The 27,810-nt window shown below is 35.8% G+C and overlaps 1 long non-coding RNA gene across 1 annotated transcript in view; it reads left to right on the top strand.

Annotated features, from left to right (window-relative positions):
- Positions 1 to 516: 516 nt before the first annotated feature.
- The window catches only part of LOC124901626 (uncharacterized), a 46,873-nt gene continuing 19,579 nt past the window's right edge, over positions 517 to 27,810 (top strand). The window contains exon 1 of the long non-coding RNA XR_007060316.1: positions 517 to 580. This is a non-coding gene — a long non-coding RNA (uncharacterized LOC124901626). The remainder of the gene's footprint in view (positions 581 to 27,810) is intronic.

Genomic DNA, 27,810 nt, shown 5'->3' with positions numbered 1-27,810 from the left:
ACATTCTTTACACATCACAGCCTCTGTGTAGCTGGGCTTACATTGTGGCTACAGGCTCCAAGATCATGTCCCAAGAGGAGCTACTCCTTATCTCTTAAAGTTTTTTACATGGTTTTAATCTCTGTCACATTCATCGCACATGACACTTTATTTAGCTTTATTATTTAATTACTTGTTTTATTACTCATTTCACATAATTTATATTTCTTAACCAATTTATAAGGAGTTGATATGGCTATTTTGGTCATTTGTTGAAGGTTTTTTGCTTGTTTATTTTTGTCCTTTTCAATTTCACTAATTATATTTATATTTATAAATACTGATACTTTTTACTAAAGATTATAGAATAAATATAATACCCTCTTGAATCTATTGAAGTATTTTATGCATCTATTAATATATTTATTAATCTATTATGTACTTAAATATTTCACCAAGTTTTACTGGTTGAGTTGATTTTCCTTATTTAATACTTTTATGTTGATTCTTGATTTTTTTCTTTTTATTTGGATATAGGAAATTAGTTTGAGGAGGCCATGTGAGTGAATTTCTACAGCATAAAAGAAATCACTGATCATCTGTGAGTAAGCACACTTTTTGCTGCTTCTGGGATGGAAGGAGAGGGTATGATTTTGGGGATGGTGGGGTGGAGCACAACATCAAGCATGTTTTTCCGATTTCTTGGGTAACATGGCTTCTGGCTGTTAAAAGCTCCAGTTTCCTCTTTTATGCTGCTTCTGGTATCAAAAATATACTACTTCATACCTAAGACTTATGCTCTCTAAATGTGGTGGGTAGCGTAGTGGGAATGGGGGGCAGGACCATCTCCAAGCAAAACACCTGTTTCTCTATCCCACACTCCATCATATCCTCAACTCCTGTTTCCATGACCTACTAATGGTTAATCCACTAACACTGTGTAGCTGAATATGGTTATCTTCTCTATCAGTTTGTTTTCACACTGCTGAATATGGTTATCTTCTCTATCAGTTCATTTTCACACTGCATACCAAAGACTGGTTAATTTATAAAGAAAAAGAGGTTTCATGGACACACAGTTCCACGTGGCTGGACGGCCTCACAATCATGGCAGAAGGTGAAAGGCATGTCTTACATGGTGGCAGGCAGGGGAGAATGAGAGAACCAAGTGAAAGGGGAAACATCTTATAAAATCATCAGATCTTGTGAGACTTATTCACTACCACGGGAACAGTATGGGGGAAACCGCCCCCAGGATTCAATTATCTCCCACTGGGTCCCTCCCACAACACGTGGGAATTATGGGAGCTACAATTCAAGATGAGATTTGGGTGGGGACACAGCCAAACCATATTATCTTCCTTCATTAACATTACTCCTCCAAAAACATACACGAGTAATGGGAACATTAGTTTAATATCCTCCACCTTTATGGATAGGGACATTTGTTTTTCTTTCCTTTCTGTATCCCTGACATGTAGACATCATCCAACGGTGTGCACTCAACAATCCTACACTAAATAAATGAATGCACGTAAGAATAAATAGATAATATCTAAAGAAGTTTTTTTTTAAACTTGGTATAGGTTCAATACAACTTTTAATAAAGATTTATCAAACCCACAAAATGAAATAATTACTTGCATTTGACTAGAGCTTTTTCATTTTAATTCACAGAAAATTACATACATAACATAGCACAGTTTTCCTGTTACATTCTCCTTCCCTTCTCAAAAGAATGTTGGTGAGAAGCCTTAAGTAAGAAGTGGTTCGTGTTCTAGAGCAGATGGGGCTCCTTTGAGCCTGTGCCTGTCGGGTTCTGACATAGAACTGGGTGTCTATGCTTTTCTTAAGTCTCTATCCTTTTGCAGAGTGTAAATTACTCTTTCAGCTTCTTGTGAATTGTAAATTCAATTTCTAAATACAATTTGTCTCTTATTCTGTATAAGAAAGTTAGTTTTTATTTAGTACACTGCAAAATAACAGTTAGTACTGGAGATCATTCTCCCATATGTTCTTGTTTGGTCTGCCAACTCTTATTAAGGGAGAGTAATATCTTGACGGTGTCCCAAATCAAATTTTCCTACATTGAATGGTCAGTATTATTGACATTTCCTCTTCCATACCCTGCAAGACACACCCACTTACCTTATTTTAAGAGTATCACTCTTTTGTCATTTGATCAATTTTATGTGGGCCACACCAGACATAAGTAAGCACTGTTGGAAGATACCAGGAAATATAAGTGTGAATACAGTCGTGCATTGCTTAACAATGGGGATACATTCTAAGAAATTAAAATTGCACTATTAGGCAATTTTGTCTTGTGTGAACATCATAGACTGTACTTACCCAAACCCAGATGGTAGAGCTTACTACACAGCTAGGCTATATGTATAGCCTGTTTCTCCTAGGCTGCAAACCTGTGCAGCATGTCACTGAACTTGATACCGTAGACGAGTATACACAATGGTTCCATACTTTTGTATCTAAAGATATCTAAACATCAAAAAAGTAAAGTAAAAATAGAGGATAAAATATTTTTTAAAAGGGTGCATATATATGGAGAACTTACCATGAATGGAGTTTGTAGAACTGGAAGTTGCCCTGGGTAAGTCAGTGAGTGAGTGGTGAGTGAATATGAAAGCCCAGTGAGTCAATTACTCAACACTATGATAGATTTTATGAACACTGTGCATTTAGGCTACACTGAATTTACAAAAGAGTATTTTTTCTTTCTTCAGTAACAAAGTAATTTTAGCCTACTGCAACATTTTACTTTATAAACTTTTAAATTATTTAAACTTTTTGGCTCTTTTGCAATAACACGTAGCTTAAAATAAAAACACATTATATACCTGCTACAAAAACATATTCTTTCTTTATGTCCTTATTCTATAGGCATGTATCTATTTTTATTTTTCTTACTTTTTAAACATTTTTGTCCAAAACTAAGACAGAAGCACATAAATTAGCTTAGGGTTACACAGGGTCAGGATCATCAATATCAGTCTTCCATCTCCACAGCTTGTCCCACTGGGAGGTCTTCAGGAGTAATAACGTGCATGGAGCTGCCATCTCCTATGATGACAATGTCTAAGACCTGCCTGAGGTTGTTTTACAGTTAACTTTTTTTATGAGTATAAAAATACAATAAAAATATCAACAAGAATATAGTATGCTAAATGCATAAAGTGGTAACATAGTCACTTATTATCTTACCAAGTAATATATTCTGTACATAATTGTATGCACTATACTTTTAAACAACTGGCAGCATAGTAGTTTTGTTTACACCAGCATCACCACAAACACCCGGGTAATGCATTGCACTATGATATCACTAGGCAGTAGGAATTTTTCAGCTTCATTATAATCTTATGAGACAGCTGTTGAATACACAGCCTGTTGTTGATGGAAACACCATTGTGTGGTGCATGACTCTATGCTTTAGATTTGGCCCTCATGGAATAGACCACTGCAAGGTCAATGCTAGAGAGAACTCCTTTGCAGGAGAGAGAAATATGGTGGAGTAGAGGAACAGGGGAGTTCTGTGGATGACCTCTTTCATCTGGGCTTTGGAAGATGGGAAAAGCTTGGTCATACAGAGATTTGGACTAAACGTTTCATGAAGAGGAAGCAGATTACGAAATAATTACACAGAGGTCAGTAGTTCAACTGTTTCACCTAGAAACTAAGGTGGAAATTATACAGAAGTTAGTCTTTTCTATACTGGGCCCAAGAAAGTGAGCAAGGGCAATATGTTTTTGTTTGTTTTTTAGCATCTTTACAAGTTTTTTCCATCTGGTTTGTCTCAATTATCTTTACAAAATTCCTTGATCTGTAGATATAATTGTTATAATATTGTAATAATATTATCCTTCTATTATATTATAATTTATCTGTAGTTACATTATTTGATTTATCCCTATTGTATTCCATGCTTGTTTGGTTCCAATACTCAATAATAGCTTATAACTGAAATGTCAATTTAATCCTACAAACATTTAAAGAGTATCCAATACCTAGGTAATTATCCTGTTTTACAGGTGAGTCGATCTAAGCTATACTTATATGATTAAAAATAATTAGTTTGAGTTGTCTTTTGCTCTAATTGCTCCTTACTTCACTCGAAGTTCTTATTGCTCAGCTGCAGAGTATTGTGTAAGCACAGCAGGGAACTTTTATTTTGACTCTGTGTTAATGTAAAAATTATGCTTAATAATACAAGGAAGAATGATTCCAGGGTGTTTAGCCATGTGTTGCAATGGTCATTATTTCCTTCCAGTATACTTATCTCTGAACCGATCATTTTATTGGCTCTTTGGTTATAAATGTTTTCAGGAAGTGCTTTCTGAAACAATAAATACCTCTCTGTCCCATTATCCAAAAATTCCCTGCATTTCATGCCTACATTCAATTTTGGCTACACACGGAAAAAAATAAATAAATAAATAAAAGTAGCTTTTGTTAATCAGGCCTACAAACTAAAACCTAAAATTTTGGAATTAAAAACTAATAATTTGATAATTTTTTAAAAGGAATGTTGGAGAATGTTTAGTTCCAACTCTCACTTTAGTGGAGTCTGTAAGAAACAAATAATTATTATTTCTAGAAAGAATAACAATGTCTTTATCTGTATAGCCTACAATGTGCTTCAACGCTTTAACTTGTGTGTTCATCCTGAAGTGGGTGCTCTTGTCCTCATTTTAGAAAGGAGGAAATGAGTCTTGGAGAGGGTAGGGGACTTGTACCAAGTATAGGAGCAAGGAAAAAAGTGAAGTGACTCAATCACAGTGAGCCCTCTTCACAAATCCAGTGTTGTTCCCACTGCCCATCAACTGAGAAGCTGCTTTTCCTCTTAAAAACAAAATAAACGTAGAAACAAAGAAACAAAAATCCTCTCTTCTACTCTGGATTCAGATGACAGTCGTATTTTGCTCAAGAATATTGAGCAATCATAAATGAGTTTTCTCCCCTCCACACTGGAGATAAACCACAACTTATTATAACAAAACTGGTCACTGCTCTTGCCAAAGTATTTCATCAGCTTCTGGCATGCGTTATATCTTGATACACTTATCCAGCATGATGGCTGGCGTGATCCTCTGCCTATTTAGTATGTAGGCTAGTTCAGCAGAGGATTTAATGACAGGAGATTTTTCTTTGGCTCCAGGGATCGGCATGCACAGACAGGACCCTGTGTGAATTCCCCAGCATGTGATGATAAGATACTTCCAGTCTGCCAGCATCAAGCAGCTTCATTAATTAAAAACACATTGCGTGTTATCACTAAAGATTGATTTTTCTAGGAAGAATTACCCTTTGGCATTTATGATGAGCATGAAGAAGAACAGATAATACAATTACTGACAGGACTTTCCTCATTTTAGGACAGCAAATATTTAAGATTAGGATTAAGATTTCAGGAGAGACAGCCTTTGTGATTATTCTGCAAAGGAAATATTTGGGACTGCTGTTTTCGTTTTGTTTAGGCTGACCCTGGGAAGTAAACATTTGCTCAGCCATACTGAGTATCTGTGATTTAATGGGATATGGGCCCTAAACATATTTTAGTACTTCACCCCTTTATGCTTAAAACAAAACAGTGCAAAATAAACAATAAATGGACTAATAAAAAGTTTATATAGCTGCCAAGTGCTGAAAAAAGTCTGGTGAAGTCAAGTTATCTGTTTGAAGGAGATTACTGATATTTTCAGCAAGAAGGGCAGTGTTGTGAGAGTGTCTGGCCCTCATGGCACCAATGTAGAATGATGATGCAGGAGAATCTGGGTTCCAAAGCCACACAAGGAACCATTTATATTTTTGTCCAGCACGATGTAGATATTCCCAATATCCCATCAAGTGGTTGCGTAGTCCCTGTTTAAATTCCTTTGCAGACCTCATTATTTTACAAAATCTGTGATTAAACTAGAAGAGCTCAAATTGATAGGAAATCCTCCTAGAGTGGAAGTGATACTTTTTTACTTCCTGCTGTGACACATCAAAACTTTTCTATTTGAAACTTCTACATGTTGGACCTAAGTTTTCTCCTTTCTTACACTAAATGTCCTCCATGAAGTCTGCTACTTGCCACTTAAATTATCCAGGATCTCCTGGGTCTTGGACCCCTGCAACATCCAGGATCACCTCTAAACACATGGCAGTTTGCAGTGACTCAAAGTCAAGCACAGTAATCCAATGGCAAGTGCAACAAAACATCGTATCCTTAGGTTTCCACTATTCATTTACATTAAAGCTGCCTATGTTGAGTTTAGATGTTTAGGCAGAGCTTTCACGGGTATGTCATTTTTGAGTTGATGATGTAGCCTATGATGGCTTTTCTTCCATGAACTGCTGTTTAAATAAGTTCCCTTCTGCTTGGGTCTAGTTGAAGTGAGAGAATCAAAGGTAGATGTTTTTACCCCATGAAACACTGCCTCACTAGTTTCAGCCTTTTCTTTCAGCCACTTAACATCTCTAAAAATCTAACTTTACAATCCTTTGCTTTATTGACACAGCCTTGCTCTATGGCCTCTGTTTACCTATCTTTTACGTCCTATTGAAGATATTAGTGGGCGAATGTTCCTAGTAGATAGAGCTACCCCTTAGTCTATTCTGACTGGCTGTCCACAGAAATGTAGAAAAGTGCTCATAGGAGGGTCTACTTACAAAGTTATGACATTGACATAAATCATTTGCATTAGGTACATCAAACACTGGGATCCTTAACATTTTTTCCTCTCCTGTCCATTTTGATTTAATATAAACATAAGCTGGATGTATCATGATATCAAACACTTGTAGGTTACTTAAAGATTGCCCCAAACATGGAAACTCAGGAAAAATGTCAACGTAATTTGAATTGTTCACATCATATTTATGTTTTAAAAAGTTTACTGAATATTGCTCTATCAAACGACTTGTTTTGGTACCATCTAAAACCAACTAAGGCTCAGGTTGAGGAACAGGGTAGAATGGTTGCTGTTTATGGATATGTAGGAGGATTTGACATGAAAGTTCACTGGTTGTAGATTTGTGTTGGCTCACTTTTATTTACTTAGTGAAATCTACATGCCTTAGATGGCAGGTAAAGCACAAGACTGCTCTGATCTTGGCTCTCATGACATTCCTGTGCAACTCTCATTTTACTTCAGGCTCTACCTCTAAAATCCACCACATGGCCTCGCCGTCCATGCTTTGCTGATGTTTTCCTGTATCTAGAATGCCTTTTCATTTCTGGGGGCCTGTGAATATGGTCGCCATTTTTCAAGGTTCAGTGCAAATACCACATGCTTAGATTTTTGCTTCACTGCTTCCTTAATCAGCCACAGGTAGACTTTTGCTTATGCTGCCACAGAGGGTGAATCTTAAATCCTTGCATCACTACTAGCGGTGTACATTTCCATCAGCCTCACTTTTATGTGAGTTCTTAAAGGTTAGAGTCTATGCCTGATTTCTTCATGTCTCTCTCTCTCTTCCTTGTGTGCGGCAGAGCATCTGGATTACTGCTAGATGGAGTTGACTCATCTGCGGGCTCTGGGATTGACTCAGCCCTGGACTGTACTGGCACTTGTTTGTCTTAACCTGTGCTTTCATTGAAAAAATAATACTCTCTCTTCAAAACTTCTAAATCATAGGCTTTCCATGTCCCCAGGAATTCAGATTTACATTACTTTCATGGCACAGAGAATACCAATCCTAGAAATTAACATTATGTAGTCACACATGGGTAAGAATGCCTTAGGGTAACTGGCAGAAACAAACTGTATTTGGCTCTGACTTTCTGAAGGTTTGCTCCTTCAACCCATGCTTTCCAGGATTCCAGCAAATAAAATCCAGAAAAACATGAAATATAAGCTCACATTTGAAAATCACCAAGTACACAAAGAAACAAGCCACCACGAGAAAGCCAGCAGAAACCAGGATCTTCAGGTAACAGAATCATAGAGCACAAAAAAAATTATTTAGATTTTTCAAAGAAATACAAGATGAAAAAGAATAATATGCTCCAAAATATGCTAGGAAGACTAGAATATAACCAAATGTAGCGGCTAAAATAAAAAAAAAAAGTCATTAAAATTAAATACCTCACCAATGATGTGTTCAGTGGCAGGTAAGAGATACATGAAAAAGAATCAGTAACTAGAAAATAGACCTGAAACATTTACCAGGAGTTGGACACATGTAGAGAAAAGAGGAAATATGGAAGTATAAAGGAGAGATTAAGAGACATAGAAAATAGTAAGGGGGCAAATATTCATCTAATTGGATCTTTAAACATAAGGAGCATGAGAGGAGGCAATAGTAAAAGTGCTAAATGAGAGTTGTCTAGAATTAATGAAGAACAAAAATTTTCAGATTTAGAGAGTATAATGAATTCCAAGGAGAATGAATAAAAAGAAAAAAAAAAGACAATCACAGCTGGACACACAGAATATCACAGGCAAAGATAAGATCTCAAAAACAATGGAAGATAAAATAAACATTGCCTGTAAAGAAACAAGTATACCAATTGCAAAATTAGTAGTAACAGCAAAGTGGATGCATTTTTATAAATTCCAATTTCTAGTATACTTTATACTTTAAATATTTTTAAGAAACTAAGAGATTATAACTGATCATCTGGAATTCTCTTCTTTGGGAGATTAACATTTTAAAATAATAGTAATATTTTAAACACACAATAACAATATTTATGACCAGCAAACCCTCTCTAAATCAACTTCTAAAGGATTACTTTCTAAAGAGGGACATTTTAGGCAGAAGAAAAGACTGACATGCAAAAAAGAATGTTATCTGATAATCCAGGATTACAAAATAAAGCTGTAAATGCTCCTTTTGTGGGTATATGGCATACAGCACGATCTTGAATACTGTTGTTTTGTTATAACATTGGAAAGAAAAAAATAAATGATTCCTAGCCAGGACCACTGTCTGTTTGGAGATTGCACATTCTCCTCATGTCTGGGTTTTCTTCGTGTACTCCAGTTCCCTCCCACATCCCAAAAATGTGCATGTTAGGTAAATTAGCATTGAGGACTTACTCTATCATAGCAACTCATTTGGTTAATGAGTTGCTAACTTCGCTAAAAATCAAAACAGACTAATGTAAACCTGCAACTTGAAGCTTGGAAATCTTGAGAAAGACAATCAGTGACAGCTTTTGACTAAATGCAACGTGACCACTTAGTCTGATTAAAAAGACATCTAGCAGATTTGCTGTTTAACATAAATATAGCAATGCTACCATTTTGACTCTTAGCATGGTATATTCTGTTAGCAAACCTCTGAAGTCCACGACTGCAAATGATTAGACTTTAAAGAGGGAACAGGAGATTCCTATTAATAGCATAGTCAGGTGTGAACACCACTTATTTGGGATGGTAGAACTTAAATAATTTTTTTAATTTTTTGCATTTCCAAATATCTTACAATTACTTTCTTAATAACTGCAAAAAAATGAAATCAATTCTTTTTTACTACAAAGTGGATTTTTTAAAAAGTAAAAATATTTAAATATTCTCATAAAAAAGACAAATCAACAGTTAAGATTCACATTTTAAGATTATTTGCATTGTTGATGAGGTAATATTAAAAGGCACTTTTTGGACATGGTTCCCTTAGGAATTTGAAATATTATTAAAGTAATTAATTTAGGCAACTCATGCTTAGCATACTCTAAACACTAGATACTGAGCTAGATCATGACCCTATACAGAAATGCCAGATCCACATGTGGAGGTCCCCAGGGCTCAGGGGAGCAGGCAGAAGTGGGTCAGAAGCAGCACTTCATAGGGCAGTGAGTTGGAAGAGGAAACTAGAATCTGTGTTTGGGCCATAATGGGCTGTTACAAGGCTTCCAGGCAGGAAACCTGAGCTAAGTCTGAATGCTTTATGGATCTCTCTAAGTTTAGAAGGTTGGGAATGAATTCCATGGAGAGGAAATAGCTTTAACAAAGAAATTTAATTCTAGATTATTAAAAACCATTCATTTAATCAAATTATATGTATGTCAGTATGTCATGTATAATTTGACAAGAAAATCTATTTTTGTTTTACAATTTTCTCGTCATTATTTCTAATATTTGTAGAATAGTTGTCCATAGGTTAGCAACATATTTTATTTGATGTGGTTGGCCTTCTTAATGTAGCTTCCATTCCAAAGTTATGGATTTGTTAGTGGCTATGCATTAACCCATTTATGCCTAGTGTCCCATCATTGGAACACTAAACTTGTGGGAGTCATGTATATCCTACTGCTCAAGGTCATCGCCAAAGTCTGATTTTTCACACAAAAAAATTGCAACCTCTGGCATAAGTGGGTTAACAATAGCCTAGCAGGTTTAAGAACAAGTGGATACATTGCTATTGGACAAGGGTTGGCAAAATTTTTCTGTAGAGAGTCACATAGTAAATATTTTAGGTTTTGCAAGCCATACAATCATACTGAACTCTGACATTGTAGGACAAAAGTGTCTGTAGACAATCCGTAAACATATGGGCACAGCTGTCCTCCCATAAAAATTATTTACAAAAGCAAATTCAAGTGTCAGGCTGAATTTGGCTTAGGCTTCACATTGTCATCAAAGTACCCCATACGTTAAAATAATTGCATGATAGTTCATAGCATCATTGAAGCTCTTAAACATGGTTCAGGTACAAAGAATGACAGACAGATCTCTTTCCCAGCTTAACTGGTTCTGCCACATGCCCATGGTGTAAACACAGTTCACAAGTCACTTATGGCCCCTGCCCTGAAAGTATGTGGTTGTTGGTAAAAGGTATCTTTGGATTTACATTTTCTTTTCTAATTTTCTTCATGAAGTGAGTCTCGGAAAGTATTTTTCACCACATGATTTTAAATCACATAATTAAAATGTATGGGATGTGCCTGCATATATTGAATTGGCTTACCAACTTCTCAATTTTAGATGTATTTGCAATAATAATACTGATCTTTATAGTTCTTTAAAAATTAGATTGAATAACATTTAAATGATTAGCCTGACAATAGTTTGAATCATGTCCCATTTTTCTACTGATGTAGAGCATTTGTGTTCAATGCTGTTATCTGTCATAGTACTTTTCTTCTATGAATACAAAGCACTTTAAGTTTCTATTATACAATTAGAAACACTACCTAGGCACCTCCCATTGCATAGTTTCATTTCGTATTGAGAAAAATGCATAATAATGAAACTAATTAGTAGAATATTGAAAGATAACTAACTCTCTCTGTTTTCAAATATTATTTTTATTTTTCACATTTTATCTTTTTTTTTTTTTTTTTTTTTTTTTTTTGAGACGGAGTCTCGCTCTGTCGCCCAGGCTGGAGTGCAGTGGCGCGATCTCAGCTCACTGCAAGCTCCGCCTCCCGGGTTCACGCCATTCTCCTGCCTCAGCCTCCCGAGTAGCTGGGACTACAGGCGCCCGCTACCACGCCCGGCTAATTTTTTGTATTTTTAGTAGAGACGGGGTTTCACCGTGTTAGCCAGGATGGTCTCAATCTCCTGACCTCGTGATCCGCCCGCCTCGGCCTCCCAAAGTGCTAGGATTACACGCGTGAGCCACCGTGCCCGGCCCACATTTTATCTTTTATTCCTCTATGTGTAGAATTATTTTTACATTTTGAATTATAATTTTAAATTTATGATAAAACTATTTTGATTTTTGAGATAAAGATTTAAAATATGTTTGAACCATGTGTGTTTTTATGCCAGTATCATAGTATTTTGATTACTATAGCTTTATAATATATTTTGAAGGAATGTGATGCCTCCAGGTTTCTTCCTTTTGCTCAAGATTGTTTTGGCTATTCAGGGTCTTTTGTGGTTGCATACAAAGTTTAGGATTTTAAAAAAATTTCTGTGAAAAATTACGTTGGAATTTTGACAAGAATTGCATTGAATCTGTAGATTTCCTTTGGGTGGTGTGGACATTTTAACAATATGAATTCTTCCAAGCCATAAACATGGGCTATGCTTTAATTAATTTGTTTTCTACAATTTCTGTTATCAATATTTCATTAGTTTTCAGTATACAGAACTTTTATCTCTGTGGTTAAATTTACACTTATTTACGTTATTTAATTTAGTTATTGCTATTGTAAGTGGGATTGTTTTCTTTATTTCCTTTTTGGATAGTACATTATTAGTATATAGAAATGCTACTGTTATTTTATGTTGATTTTGTGTCCTTCAACTTTATTGACTTTATCAGTTCTGACAGGTTTTTGGTGGAGTCTAGGTTTTCTTTCTAGGTATAAGGTATGTCATCAGCAAACAGAAACAATTTTGCTTCTTTCTTTCCCATTAGGATGGTTTTTATTTCCCTCTCTTGATAATTGCTCTGGGTGAGAGTTCTTTTGTGATGTTGAAAAGAAGTGGTGGTTACTTTAAATTTCATATGGAACCAAAAAAGAGCTGGTATAGCCAAGACAATTCTAAGCGAAAAGAACGAAGCTGGAGGCATCATGCTACCCGACTTCAAACTATATTACAAGGCTACAGTAACCAAAACAGCATGGTACTGGTACCAAAACAGATATATAGACCAATGGAACAGAACAGAGGCCTCAGAAATAACACCACACATCTACTCTCTGATCTTTGACTAACCTGACAAAAACAGCCAATGGGGAAAGGACTCTCTATTTAATAAATGGTGCTGGGAAAATTGGCTAGCCGTATGCAGAAAACTGAGACTGGATCCCTTCCTTACACCTTACACAAAAATTACCTCAAGATGGATTGAAGACTTAAACATAAGACCTAAAACCATAAAAACCCTAGAAGAAAACCTAGGCAATACCATTCAGGACATAGGCATGGGCAAAGACTTCATGACTAAAACACCAAAAGCAATGGCAATAAAAGCCCAAATTGACAAATGGGATTGAATTAAACTAAGGAGCTTCTGCACAGCAAAACAAACTATCATCAGAGTGCACAGAAAACCTACAGAATGGGAATAAATGTTTGCAATCTATCCATCTCACAAAGGGCTAATATCCAGAATCTATAAGGAACTTAAACAAATTTACAAGAAAAAAAAACCCTATCAAAAAGTGGGTGAAGGATATGAACAGACACTTCTGAAAAGAAGACATTTATGTGGCCAACAGACATGAAAAAAAGCCATCATCACTGGTCATTACAGAAATGCACATCAAAACCACAATGAGATACCATCTCACGCCAGGTAGAATGGTGATATTAAAAAGTCAGGAAACAACAGATGCTGGAGAGGATGTGGAGAAATAGGAATGCTTTTACACTGTTGGTGGGAGTGTAAATTAGTTCAACCATTGTGGAAGACAGTATGGCAATTCCTCAAGGATCTAGAACCAGAAATGCCATTTGACCCAGCAATCCCATTACTGGGTATATACCAAAAGTATTATAAATCATTCTACTATAAAGACACATGCCCACGCATGTTTATTGCAGCACTATTCACAATAGGAAAGACTTGGAACCAACCCAAATGCCCATCAATGGTAGACTGGATAAAGAAAATGTGGCACATATTTACCATGGAATACTAGGCAGCCATAAAAAAGAATGAGTTCGTGTCCTTTGCCAGGACATGGATGAAGCTGGAAACCATCATTCTCAGCAAGCTAACACAGGAACAGAAAACTAAACACCATATGTTCTCACTCATAAGTGGGAATTGAGCAATGAGAACATATGGACACAGGGAGCGAAACATCACCAGAGCCTTTCAGGAGGTGGGGGAACAAAGGGAGGGAGAGCATTAGGAGAAATACCTAATGTAGATGACGGGTTGATGGGCGCAGCAAGCCACCACGGCATATGTATACCTATGTAACAAACCTGAACGTTCTGCACATGTGTCCCAGAACTTAAAGTATAATTCAAGAAAAAAAAAAAGAAAGAAAAGAAGTGGTGAGAGTGGGAATCTTTATCTTGTCCCTGATCTTAGAGGAAAATCTTTCAACTTTCCACTGTTGAATATAATGTTAGCTACAGGTTTTCATATATAATCTTTATTGTGTTGAGGTACATTTCCTCTATACCTAATCTGTTGAGACTTTTTATCATGAAATGGTATTAAATTTTGTCAGATGCTTTTTCTGCATCAATGGAAAAGATTGTACAGAAAGCCCAGAAATAAACTTATGCCTTTATAGTCAATTAATCTTCAATAAAGTTGCCAAGAACACACAGTGGGGAAAAACAATCTCTTCAGTAAATTGTGTTAGGAAAACTGGCTATCCGCATGCAGAGTTATGATATTGAATCCTTATCTCACACCATATGCAAAAATCAACTCAAATGAATTAAAAACTTAAATATAAGACCTGAAACTGTAAAACTACTAGAAGCAAATGTAGGGTAAAAGCTTCATGAAACTGACCTGTTCAATAACATTTTAGATATGACCCCAAAAGCTCATGCAAGAAAAGCAAAAATGGACAAATGGGATTACATTAAACTAAAAGATTTCTGTACAGCAAAAAAAAAAAAAAAACAATAAAGTAAAGAAACAACTCAATAGTGGGAGAAAATTTTTGCAAAGCATACATTGGATAGGGGGTTAATCCAAAATGTATAAGAAAGACCTCAATAACAAGAAAACAAACAATCCAACTAAAAAATGGGCAAAGGACTTGAACAGACATTTATCAGAGAAGACAATAAATAGCTAACAAGTGCATGAAAAAATATTCAACATCATTAATCATTAGAGAAATGCAAAATAAAACCACAATGAGATATCACCTCACACCTGTTAGAATGGCTTTTATAAAATAGATGAATGATAACGAGTGTTGGTGAGATTATGGAGACAAGGAAACTCTTGAGTGTTGTGGTGGGAATGTAAATTAGTGTAGCAATTGTGGAAAACAGTATGGAGGTGCCTCAAAAAACTCAGAACAGAACTATCATGATTCTGGGTATACATTCAAAGGAATTGAAATCAATATATTGAAGGGATAACTGCACTTCCTTGCTCATTGCAGCAATATTCACACACAGTGTGAATTCACAGCCGTCAAGATATAGAATCAACCAAAGTGTCTGTCAATGTATGAACAGATAAAGAAAATGTGAAATACTATTACAATGGAATACTCTTTAGGCCTTAAAAAAAAAAATCTGCCATTTGCAACAATGTGGATGAAACTGGAGGACATTATGCTAAGTGAAATAAGCCAGACACTGAAAGACAAATACCATATAATCTCACTTAAACGTAGAATCTAAAGAAGTTGAATTCACAGAAGTAGAGAATAGAATAGTGGTTATCAGAGGCTGGGAGTGGGGAAAGAATGGGGAGTTGTTGATCTAATGGCGCAAAATTTCAGATAGACAGGAGAAATAAGTTTTGAGATCTATTGCATATCAGGGTGACCTATAGTCAATATTCATGTATTGTATATTTCAAAATTACTAAGAGTAAATGTCAAATGTCTTACCACAAAAAGTGATAAGTGAGAAAGATGATGTATATGTTATTTAACTTGATTTAATCCTTCCACATTGTGGTCCATAAATGCATACAATTATAATTTGTCCATTAAAAATAATATTAATTAAAAAAATAAAAAACAGTATGTTTGAAAAATAGAGCAAAACATAAAAAGAAAAAAATCACAGTGTTTCTCATCGTATAAAATTATAAAATGCAACATATAAGAAACCCCTTGTGTTCATCTCCAACCTGAATCCCTCAGTAAAATGCTGTTTATAATTTGGGGCATGTCTTTCTAAATACACAGACACACCCACACATGCAAATATACAGTATTCATACATTCATGTCAACATACAAACACATACATTAATACATATATAAACACACAGAAAATAAACATATTCCTCTCTATGCTACTTTCCTTAACACAAATTAATTATATTACATGTTGTTTAACTTGTATTTATCAGGTAATAATATATAAGGAAAATGTATTTTTGTGTAAGTATATTGAGATGCTTATTCAAGCTTGTTATTACTGGTTTTAAAAATATTGAATTTGTTAGTTTATATTACTTCTGTCTACCACACTGAACTCTATTATGAGCACTACTTCGAGAGTTTCTTAGTATTTTTGTTATCATAGTCATGTATTAAAGTGACCAAATAATTTTTCTCTTCTCTTCTCACTTCTCTGCTCTCTCCTCCTCGTTTTCCACTTCTTTCCCTTCCTCCTTTTCCTTTTCTTCTTTCCCTCCTGACACCTCTGCCAATCATATCCTATTTTGTTACTCAATTTTGTATATTTATATTTTCAAAAGGTATCTTCGACTGTTATGTAGGTTTCCAGCTTTTGATATAAAATTGCTTGGGATATTTCTTTCAATTGTTTATTTTCTCCTGAGTTTCTCATAAATTTTCTTTTTCATGATTGCAGATATACATATATTTAATTTTATTTTTCAGATTCTTTGTTTTAAATTTTTTGTCTTATAAAAATAAAATTTTATTTTATCTGTAGATTCTTTATCTTAATAAGTTTCAATTTCTTGTTGCTATTTCTTAACTATTTCAATCTCACTTTTTTGTTTTTTAAATTTTGTTTTATTCTGTTTTTTTCCATTTTATTTTTCAATCTCACTTTTTAAATTGAACGCTTTTTTATTACCAGAAAAAAAATGCTTAGTTTATTTATTCTCAATGTTTTTATTTAACATAAAATTTTTTAAAGGTTAAAGATTGGAAACATCCAATGGGTTTTAATATAAAGCTTTTTCCTTGTTTTTATTATAAAATAATCTTAATTTCAGAGTTGAGGTCCTTTTGGATTCCAAGAATTTTTAATAGTTTTCTTTAATCAGTTCCATGTTTTTATTTTTGATGGTGATGTTTTGTAGTTATTTTCATTTCTACTTGATTGCATTAAGGACAAAAACATAAACTACAATTTAGCAACATTTTGGTATTTATTAAGGTACATTTTGAAAAAAATGCATAAATAATTTTATAAATGTCTCACTGTAATAAAAGATTGTGCCATCTCATTTTGTGAGGTACCAAGTAACAGACACAAACAGTAACAGTGAGCACTTTCAAAGTGGAAGAGGTTGTACTGGACACCAGCCATGACCACTTCTCAAAATTTCTTGTTTGATAATGTGTGCTACTTTTTAAAATCAGATAATTTATGAAAGAACTAACAATTTTTCAGTGTTACATAATATGGTAATGAAAATTATTATGCAAAAAGCTCTTGACTTATGTGGAGTTGTGATCAGTTAAATGAGGCCAAAGAGAACAATCAATTTTAGTGATTCTTATTCCTGAATTGCCACACTGTGTTTCCAAATAGCCATATTGAGTAGTTTGTTCCCAGGGCTAAAAGAGTGGGCACATTTTTCAGTCCTCAGGCACTCTTTACAGTCTTCTATGGGGTCCTCAGAGAAATAGCAACTGAAATCCACAGTAGCAGCTGCCACTTGTGACTGCACCAAGCATGTGTTAATGGAAACATTGGCTTTTACATAAACGGACGTGCTCATTTCTTGTCCCATGTCCCATCAGTCTAAGCGTCCATCCTCTCGCCACAAGTGGATTTACAGTGATTATACAAAGACAAGTTGAGTTTAATGGTTTTATTAAGTGGGATGCAATAAGATAAATCTAGATTTTTTGATAGGATTGTCAGTGATGAGGAACCCCTCTAAAAAGAATGTAAAGGCTACCTACCTGTCTGCTAATGCTATGGCATGAAGACAATTCATATGTCTTTGAAGACCTCAATTATATCATTTTTGCCCATAGATTAACTATGTGATGTTTGATTAGTTTGCCAGTTGCTTATTCATAAATGTGTTATATGTTTAACATAATCTGTAAGGCTTCTTACACTAAACCTTCCATATTTCTAAATTTTATATAACTGTATTAATGTTAAAAATAAATAGACAATTTCATAAAGAACAACACTTTTTTGGCATCATTCAATGTGGAAAAAAGGCTGAGAGAGTTGGTGGACCCAAGCTATTGGTGACCTGTCAATTTAATCTACCCTTAACTGAGCAATGTAGTCAATGACAGCTGGTATACCTGTGTACTAATCCTGGATTATCTGTGAGATAGTGAACAAACCTCTTAACTTCTAAGGGTCTTTGTTTTGTTTCCACATCTATAAAAAGGGATTCTTCAGTGTTTTGTGAGACATTAGGTATGACTGTGTTCTGTTAGCTACACGGTTCATTATTAGTGTAACACAGCATCATTAAAATAGAAGCAAACAAGTTATAGTACATGTAGATCATATTACACTTGGTTCTAGGCACCACTTATAAATAATAGAAAAGCAGATAGATGCATAAGATGCCTCAAGAGGACGATGCATGTGAGATGCTGTGGTCTCAATGTCCCCCCAAAATGCAAACATTGAAATCCTGAAAGTGATGGTGTTGAGTGGAAGGGCCTTCAGGCAGAGCCCTCATGAATGAGATTCGTGCCCTTATCAAAGAAACTCCAGAGAGCTCTATGGCTCTCCGTCCGCAATATGAAGACATGAAGAATGTGCCGTCTATGAGGAACAGGCTTTCATCAGACACTGAAACTGCTGGCCTTGGATTTCCAACCTCGAGAACTATAAGAAATGAATTTCTCTTGTTTATAAGCCAGTCTATGGTATTTTTAAATAGCAGCTTGAACAAACTAAGACATAAGGTGTCTGAAAATTGTATCCTACTATAATATCCTGAGAGATCTGGGCCTGTTTACCCATGAAAAGGAAATTCAGTGGTGTGCACACAGATGGCTTTATGAAGACTTATCATGATTGTGATTAGAGGTGAGTGAAATATTTTGAGCTTCCCAAGGATGCAGACTCAAAAAGAAAGCATACCAGAGGGGATATTTTTACTTAATATGGTATCATTTCACAAAGAAAAGAAAAGAAATCCCTTTTCTTTCAAAGTTGTGAGCTCCTAGTTACTAGTCATAATCAAGAAAAGTTGGGTGATCATCTTCCAGGAATTCTGTAGACAGGAGTCCTGTCTTGGGTAGACTGTTTTATAAGTGAAAAATCATTTTTTATCCAATGATTCTACATTCTAATAAAATCTTCCATCAGAAGTACTCTTGATTAAAAAACAACATGAAATAAGTTATGTTGTTACTACTTATAAATGTGGAATTCCAGGGTAATAACATTAATTGCTGGTATGAAGCCTCAGTTTTTCTATCCGTTACTTGTTCAGACGCACCCTTATGATGTGAGGCAGGCATTCTTGCTCCGGTGCTTGAAGGGAAAAACAGAAGCTCAGAGAGGTTAAATGGCCCATATGAAGCCAAATAAAAACCAGCAGAGCAAAGGCTCAGAATACTGTTTTATTTTAGATGTTAATCCAGGGGTCTGTCCCCAGGGACAAGTAATAGGAGACTTGCCAGGGATTTGCTCAGCCATCATTCTCTAGGTTCGCACACGTTCTCCCATGTACACAGGGAGACATCTCTGCCTGCTCTTCTCTCAGCTCAGGTCGTCCTCATTGTGTGGAGCAGCATAAGGGGCTGGTGAGACTGCTGAGAATTTTATGCAACAGAGAGAGGTAGAGATGTGGGTCTGTGGTTGGTCTTCATTTTTTTAAAACTCAGGCTCTCCATCAATAAATTTTTAGCTCTCTGATTTTATCTATATTTATATATTAGAAATCTTACACATTTACTACTGCATAGATATGGCATACTTGTTGAGAAGCATTTGAAACTACAGAAAATTTAAAATGATTATATAAAATCAATACAACAAGAAGGTGACAACACCTCTGTATAAAGGATGCTTTGGGAGACATGCAGGGTCAAGGAGTCCCATTAGTTGATGGAACAACAGTCCTGGAGGCAAAAGAGGAGGGCTTAAATGTTAGCCGTGACAATCTCTGTCTCCCTCAGGCCCAGAACACCACAAATGCTTCCTCTTAGTACTGTCCTTTTTAGCTGTGTCACGAGTTAACAAGATCTGCTATGTCTTGGAGGAGAAAGTGCTTTGTGAGTAGGACTTATTGCGGTGTTTGCGACCCGGACTTAAGAGCAGTAAATATATTCTAGCACCCGTGACCCAAGAAAGCAACAGGTCCTACTGTGTATGTAAAGGTAGCATCATTAAAGCTGTTATTGTTTGCATATGTGGATATTGGAGCTCTAAGGAAGAACTGAGTTACTAGTAATGAATAGTATAAGAGAAACAATAAAAATGTAACATGTTTCTTGCTAATTTTTCATTTATCTTGAAAAACCAGCTTTTTTTTTAGCAATTTCTGATTCCCTAGGCACAATTAATGTCTCCCTCTGCTGTAGTCTTATTGAATTTTCTATTGAAATGCTCATCATACCCCATTGGTTTTCTCTCTTGTTTTTGTTTTGTTGTTGTTGTTGTTGTTTGTTTTGTTTGTTTGTTTGATTTTGAGATCGAGTCTTGCCCTGTCGCCAGGCTGGAGTGCAGCGGCGTGATCTTGGCTCATTGCAACCTCTGCCTTCTGGGTTCAAGAGATTCTCCTGCTTCAGCCTCCTGCGTAGCTGGGACTACAGGCGTGCACCACCATGCTTGGGTAATTTTTTGCAATTTAGTAGAGATGTGGTTTCACCATATTGGCCAAGATGGTCTTGATCTCCTGACCTCGTGATCCTCCCATCTCAGCCTCCCAAAGTGCTGGGATTACAGGTGTGAGCCATCGTGCCAGGCCAGTTTTCTCTCTTGAATGCCTCAGCAGTCATAGCCTCATGGTCTGGCACCACATTTTAGTTACAGTGATTTCCCAGATGCTAGCAGAGTGCCTAAAACACAGTTATATAATTGTGTATTTCTTTTTAGAGTATTATAAAAATTTGTATTCATTTAACTCTATATTTTTTTCCAGGAAGAGTCTGAGATGGCTTTTAGACAAGTAGTGTAAAGTAAAATGTGACCCAATAACTCAATACATTTCCATGGCCTTCAAGTGTCAGGAGGGTTATGAAAAAACATGAAAAGGAGCTGATAGATTTCCACTTTCACCTTTGACAGATACAGTTCTTGGAAACTGACAATGCCACCCTTACAAAAATAAAATTTTAAAAATATGTCAAACTGAAAATCGACAACTTTTCTTGGATCCATAAGAGGTCATAGGGCAAATCATCTCTGCAGTCTGAAGAAATCTGGAGAGATGAAGGAATCTTGAGAGGCACAGCTAAAATCTGCTTGCCTGGAACCAAAGCTGCTGGAGCCATGAACTGCAAGGAACACTTCAGTGGTGATTTGGACCAACTGCCTGAGTGTTGGCTAGTGTGAGAGTGAGACACTCCAGGAGCTACAGTCTTCATGGAGCCCCACACTCCAGTGGGTTTTACCCCTTGAAGATCCAAGATCTCCACATGCCTCAGGCAGAGAGGAGAACACTATTGTGAAATCTGCAAAGGATCCTCCACAGCAAAAGCCTACTCTGCAGGGGAAAACACTTTTATCCGGGGCTTATCTTATGGATCAGGGGCAGGGGAGGAGATTTTTCAGACTCCAGCCTCTTCTAGCTTTTCTGCATCAACTAACGGCATGAGAGAGTGTTGGGGTGGGAGAATATTACAGCCCAGGAGCACGTTAAAGATTGGAAATTAATCACAATATTATAGAATGTTTCCTTCCCTTCAGTCCACATCAAGAGGGCCCCAGTATAACAACAGTGGATTGCAGCTGAAGGAGCTGAAATTCAGTCTTTTCCTGAGGAAAAATCTAAGGGAAACGCAATGATAACTTAGGAAAAAAAAAAAAAAAAGACACTGGAGGAATTTGAATCCTCTGATGCCTACTGATGCAGCAAACATTAAAGACAGCCTAACGTCTAGCCCAGTAAACATAAAAACTCACACCAAAGGCCTTATTAGGGGTTGAATGCTTGTGTCTCCCTTCACCCCCAAATTCACATGTTAAAGTCTAATCCCCAACATGGTGGTGGTATAAGGACATCGGGCATTTGGGAGGTTGTTAGTTCAGGGGGGTAGAGCCTTTGTATGAATGACAATAGTTTCACTGTAAGAAGAGACACAAGACAGATGATCTCTCTCTTTATTATGTGAAGACAAAAAGAGAAAATGGCCATTTTCAAACCAGGAAGGGAGCCCTCACCAGACACTAAAACTGATGCTGCCATGATCTTGGACTTACCAGGCTCCAGAACCCTGAGAAATAAATGCTGGTTGTTTAAGCCACCCAATCTATGAAATTCTGTTATAACAGCCCAAGCTGACTAAGGCATACCTATCAACTCCAGATCTTATTAGCCAATAAATCATGTCTGGGTTTCAGTAAAAAATTATAAGGCATGCTAAAAGGCGAAAAAAAGCCTCATAGTCTCAAGAAACAAGGCAAGCATCAGAACCAGAATCAGATATGACACAGATATTGAATTATGAGACAAGGAATTTAAAATAATTATGATTAATATGTTAAGGGTTCTATTGGAAATAATCAACAACATGCAAGAACAGATTGGGTGTGTAACGAGAAAGATGGACGCTCCCAGAAAGAATTGAAAGAATATCCGAAGGTCATGCCTGTAATCCCAGCAGTTTGGGAGGCCAGGGCAGGCAGATCACTTGAGCCCAAGTGTTTGAGACCAGCCTAGGAAACATTGCAAAACCCGGTCTCTACAAGAAATACAAAAATTAGCCAGGTGTGGCGGCTTGCACCTGTAGTCCCAGCTACTCAGGAGGCTGAGGCAGGAGGGTCACTTGAGCCCAGGAGGTGGAGGTTGCAGTGATCCGAGATCATGCCACTGCACTCCAGCCTGGGTGACAGAGTGAGATCCTGTTTCAAAAACAAAAACAAATTAACAAACAAAAATAGAAAATCCTAGAAATTAGAACAGTGTAACAGAAATAAAGAATGCCTTTGAAGGGTTCTTCAGTAGACTGGATAAGGCCAACAAAAGAATTAATACTCTTGAATATATGTCAATAGGAATTTCCCAAACAGAAATGTAAGCATAAAAAAGAAAGGAAAAACCAAATAGAGTACTCATAAAAAGTAAAATAATTTTTAAAAGTGCAATGCACAATTAATGGGAATATCAGGAGGTATAGAAAGATGGAATGGAATAGAAAAAGTATTTAAAGTAAAAATGGTTGACAATTTTTCAAAATCAATGACATAAACAAAAGCAGAGATAGAAGAAGCTTACAGAACACTAAAAAGAAAAGCAAACAAAAACCCCCTAAATATTGGAAACATCATATTCAAATTACATAAAACAAAGCATTAAACAAATTGAAAGAAGCCAGGGGTAAGGTGGGGGAAACCTTAGCAAGAGAGGAAAAAGGATAAGAATTATAGTGGGCATCTCATCAGACCATGCAGGCCAGACAAAGTAGAGTGAAATATTTAAAGTCAAACAAGAAAACAGAAACAAAAACAAAATTCTGGAATTCTATCTTCACTGCACATGAATCAGTATATTGTTTTTAAAGTTAGTTAACAAACTTATATTAGTTTTAAATGTATATTGCAAACTCTATGACAACAACAACAAAAACCTTTTTAAAAAATCTAACTGATATGTTAAGATACGAGAGAAAATGGAATCATATAAAATTCTCAATGAAAATCAGAGAAGGCAGGGCCAGGCTTGATGGCTCATGTCTGCAATCTCAGCACTTAGGATATTATCACAATTTCAATAATCACCTTAAATGTGAATGATCTAAATACACCAAGTAAAACACAGAGATTTTCAGAGTGAATTAAAAAAAAAAAACACCACAAAATCGAACTGTGCGCTGTCTTCAAGAAATCCATTTTAAATATTTCTCAGGTTAAAAGAAAAGAGATGGCAAAAGATATACTATGCTAATTCTAGCAAAAAGAAAACTGGAATAGATATTTTAATTTTGGACAAAAAGGACCTAAGAAAAAGAAAAATTATCGGGGATATAAAATGGCTTATGTAATGATAAAGGGGTAAATTCCTCAAAAAAGACATAGCAATCCTAAATTCGTACGCACTAGAAAGCTCATGTTAAAACGTGAGGCAGAACCCAAAAAAACAGCAGAGACATAGACAAAATCACTAATACATTAAAATATTGTGACAAAAATAAAAGTACAATTTGTTTTAGTGTGTTGGATGCAGCAAAGTATTGCTTAGAGGGAAACTTATAGCATTATGCTATAGAAGAAGAAACATCTAAAATCAGTAATATAGGCTTCCATCTTAGGAAACTAGGAAAAGAATAGCAAATTAAATCTAAATTAAGGAGAACAAAATAAATAATAAAAATGAGAACAGAAATTCATGAAATGAAAATAAGGAAATAATAGAGATGATCAACAAAATCATAAGTTTATTCTTTGCAAAGATCAATAATATTAATAGATCTCTAGCTAGACTAACTTAACCTAAGAGAGAATACAAAATCACCAACATCAGAAATAAAGTAAGGATCATCATTACTGATCTTATGAAAAAAATAAATAAATAAAATAAAGGAGTGCTTTGAAAAACTGTGCCCACAAATTTGACAAATTAAATAGTCCAATTCTTTGAAAGATACATACTACCAAAACTCACAAAAGAAGAAATAAAATAATCTGAATTGGTTTATACACACAAAATAAATTTAATCAATAATTAATAAACTTCAAAAGAAAAAAAAACAGGCCCAGTTGGCTTTAAGGGCCTGTCTCCAAAATATAGAAAGGACTCTTAAAATTTAGCAATAAGAAAACAAACAAGCTAATTAAAAAGTGAACCAAAGATCTGAACAGACATCTCACTGAAGAAGATACAAGGATTGCAAATGAGCACATGAAAAAATGTTCAACATCAATTGTTACTAGGAAATTGAAATTTAAAACAATAAATGAGATACCATCACACATATATTAGAAGGGTTAAAATTAAACAACAACAAAACAAATGACATACTGATTGCTGGTGAGAATGTGGAATAATACAACTCTCATTCATTGCTGTTGAGAATCCAAAATGATACAGTCAGTTTGGAAGACAGTTTGATTATTTCTTACAAAGCTAACTATATTCTTACCATATAATGCAGCAATTACAACCCTTGATATTTGCTGAGTGGATTTAACGACTTATTTCTACACAAAAATCTGCACACAGATGTTTATAGTAGGTATATTCATAATTGCCCAAACTTGGAAGAAACCAAGATGTCTTTCAATAAGTGAATACATAAATAAACTGTGGTACATCTATACAACGGAATATTATTCAGCAGTAAAAATAAATAAGCTATCAAACCAAAAAGATAAGGATAAATAGTAGATGTGTGTTTAAATGAAAGAAGCCAGTTTGAAAGATTACACAATATGACAACAAATATGTAACATTCTGGAAAATGTAAAACAGTAGCAACAATGAGAAGATCAGTGCTTTCTAGGGGTTCAGGGAGTAAAGAAGGCTAAGTAGGTGAAGCAGAACAGATATTTTAGGATGGAAAACTATCATTTATGATACTGTGATGGTGGATTCTATGAGTCCATTGACCTTTACAGTCAAAATAGTAAAATTCTAAGAGATTGAGGGATTCCAGAATGAAATTCAGAATATGACAAAACAATGTAACTTCATTACAAATGTATTAATCAACCTTATAGAAAGAGGTAATGAAAAAGCTGCCGACTTAATTAACTTTGGAAATGAATAGAGTATGTTAGACTACAGGAAAAGAAATGCAACAAGAACTATACTTTATTGAAAATGTTGATTTCCACAGGAATATGGGTTAACACTCTGATACTGCTATCCGTGTATACTGGAAAGGAACAGTTAAATGAGTGGATAGTGGAAGATGTGAGCCAGATTTCTTACTGTTAAAGTGAGAGTTTATAGATAAACATATGGAGGAGGCTAGAATGATCTTTGTGGTAATTAAGAATTGGAGATAGCAGTATGAACTCATGTTCAGGATATAGTCAAAGACGATACATATAGAAATATTCACAGATATGTGTCTATACACGGGCTAGTATGTACTCATCTATTTTCTTGCTATTTCAACCAAGAAGCCTAGATATAACTGCATCCCAGTGGCAACAAACATGCCTACCTTTTGTTTCTAACATCTTTTTCTAATGTAAGAAAATAGAGGTTCTTGGAGAAGTGGCTGGTGTTAGGACTAAGACAGGAAGTCTGTCTTACAGATTGAGCCTGTGGAATCTATCCTTTAGCACTGGAAAGTGGGGAAGTGCTCAAAGAAAAACAAGCAAGCAAGCAAATGTCCCATAATGGGGTATGTCAATGGGACACAGAAGTTAACTAAAAAAAACTTTCCAGTTGCCAATGCTTGAACAATTTGAGCAACAAAATAAATGAAGCAGTATTGGACCATAAGTTAATGAATAAAATAAATATATATCAGTATTGATATACTGATATAAATAAATAATTGCATAAATAAATGAGTAGAGAGAAGAAATAAATGTCCATCCAGGAAAGTCCCAAGTAATTTATGTATTTACTCTACATTCAATGAGATGGTGCATAACACTCCACTCCTAAGTGTGCCCCGTGCATAATGATTTCCTTTTTAAATCAAAAGGAATGAGCATGAAAAGAGGGGAAAAAGAGAAACTTTGCAGTGGAGAAACATGATAAACACTATGTTAGGAGCTTGGCACAGTGGCTCATGACTGTAATTCCAGTGACTGAGGAGGCTGAGGCAGGAGGATTGCTTGAGCACAGGAGTTTGAAACCAGCCTGGGCAACATAGCGAGACCCTGTCTCTACTAAAACAAACAAACAAAATCCACTACATTAGCCAGGTGACCAAGGTCAACATTAACAGTCATGCATTCTATTGATTGTATGTACCCTTGATGTGATGTGATGCAAATGGCACTTTACCTGCGTGGTCTTCCTCTGACAAGCTCATTACCCCATTCTAATCATGAGAAGAACATCAGACAAATTCCAACAGAGGAGAATTATACAATATAATACCTGACCCCTCGAAACTGTCAAGGTCATCGAAAACAAGGAACCTCTGAGAAGCTGTCATAGCCACAAGGGACCTAAAAACAGACATTGTGCCTAACGTAATAGGTATCCTGGATGGGATCTTGGAAGAGAAAAATAACATCTGGTGAAAACTAAGAAAATCTGAATAAATGGTAGACTTTAGTTCATAAACGTATATCACCATGGATTCATTAATTGTAACAAACATGCCATACAAATGTAAAGTGTTAATAATAGAAAAAATTGAGTATGGAAAATATGAGGACACCGTGTACCATCTTTGCATTTTTCCTTTGCATCTAAAACTGTTCTAAAAAATAGAGTTCATTAAAAAAAGGGGGGCTGAACTTCACAACAATTAGGGTATAGGGAAACCTTGCTGGAAGAGGGACATTTGAGCTACAAAGAGGGTGAGGAAGAATTGACAGTAAAAGAGGAGACAGTGCTTGTCATAAGAAACGGCTGATGCACACATTCAGGTTTGAGAGGAAGAATGGTCCTCGGGGAGCACTGCAAGACAGGTGGCCCACACATCATCCTCAGCCAGTCTTTCTCCAGGAGCAATGGGACAGGAGGCTGAGTGCCATGTAAGCAACATTGAGAATCTAGAACTCTTCAGACAAAGGGAAGTCACTGGAGACTTTCAGGCAGAGGAGTGGCATGATTAGACTTGTGTTTTTGAAAGATTACCCTCAACATTTTTTTGAAAGTGAAGAGCTCAGTTATTTAACTTCCTTTCCTTGCTGCTTTTTTCTTACCCTTGCCATTAGATAACCCTAGGGGCTGACTCTGGAATACCTGCCTTTGGATGGCAATATTGAAGGAAGCCCTTGGTCCCAACCCCAATTCCCTCCTTCATGCTTGGGAGTGTGAAGCTCATCACGCAAAAGCC

This window comes from Homo sapiens, chromosome 7, assembly GCF_000001405.40.
Source record: "Homo sapiens chromosome 7, GRCh38.p14 Primary Assembly".
NCBI lineage: Eukaryota > Metazoa > Chordata > Mammalia > Primates > Hominidae > Homo > Homo sapiens.
The sequence above is the reverse complement of the archived record's forward strand: the minus strand, read 5'-3'. Positions and strand labels throughout refer to the sequence as shown.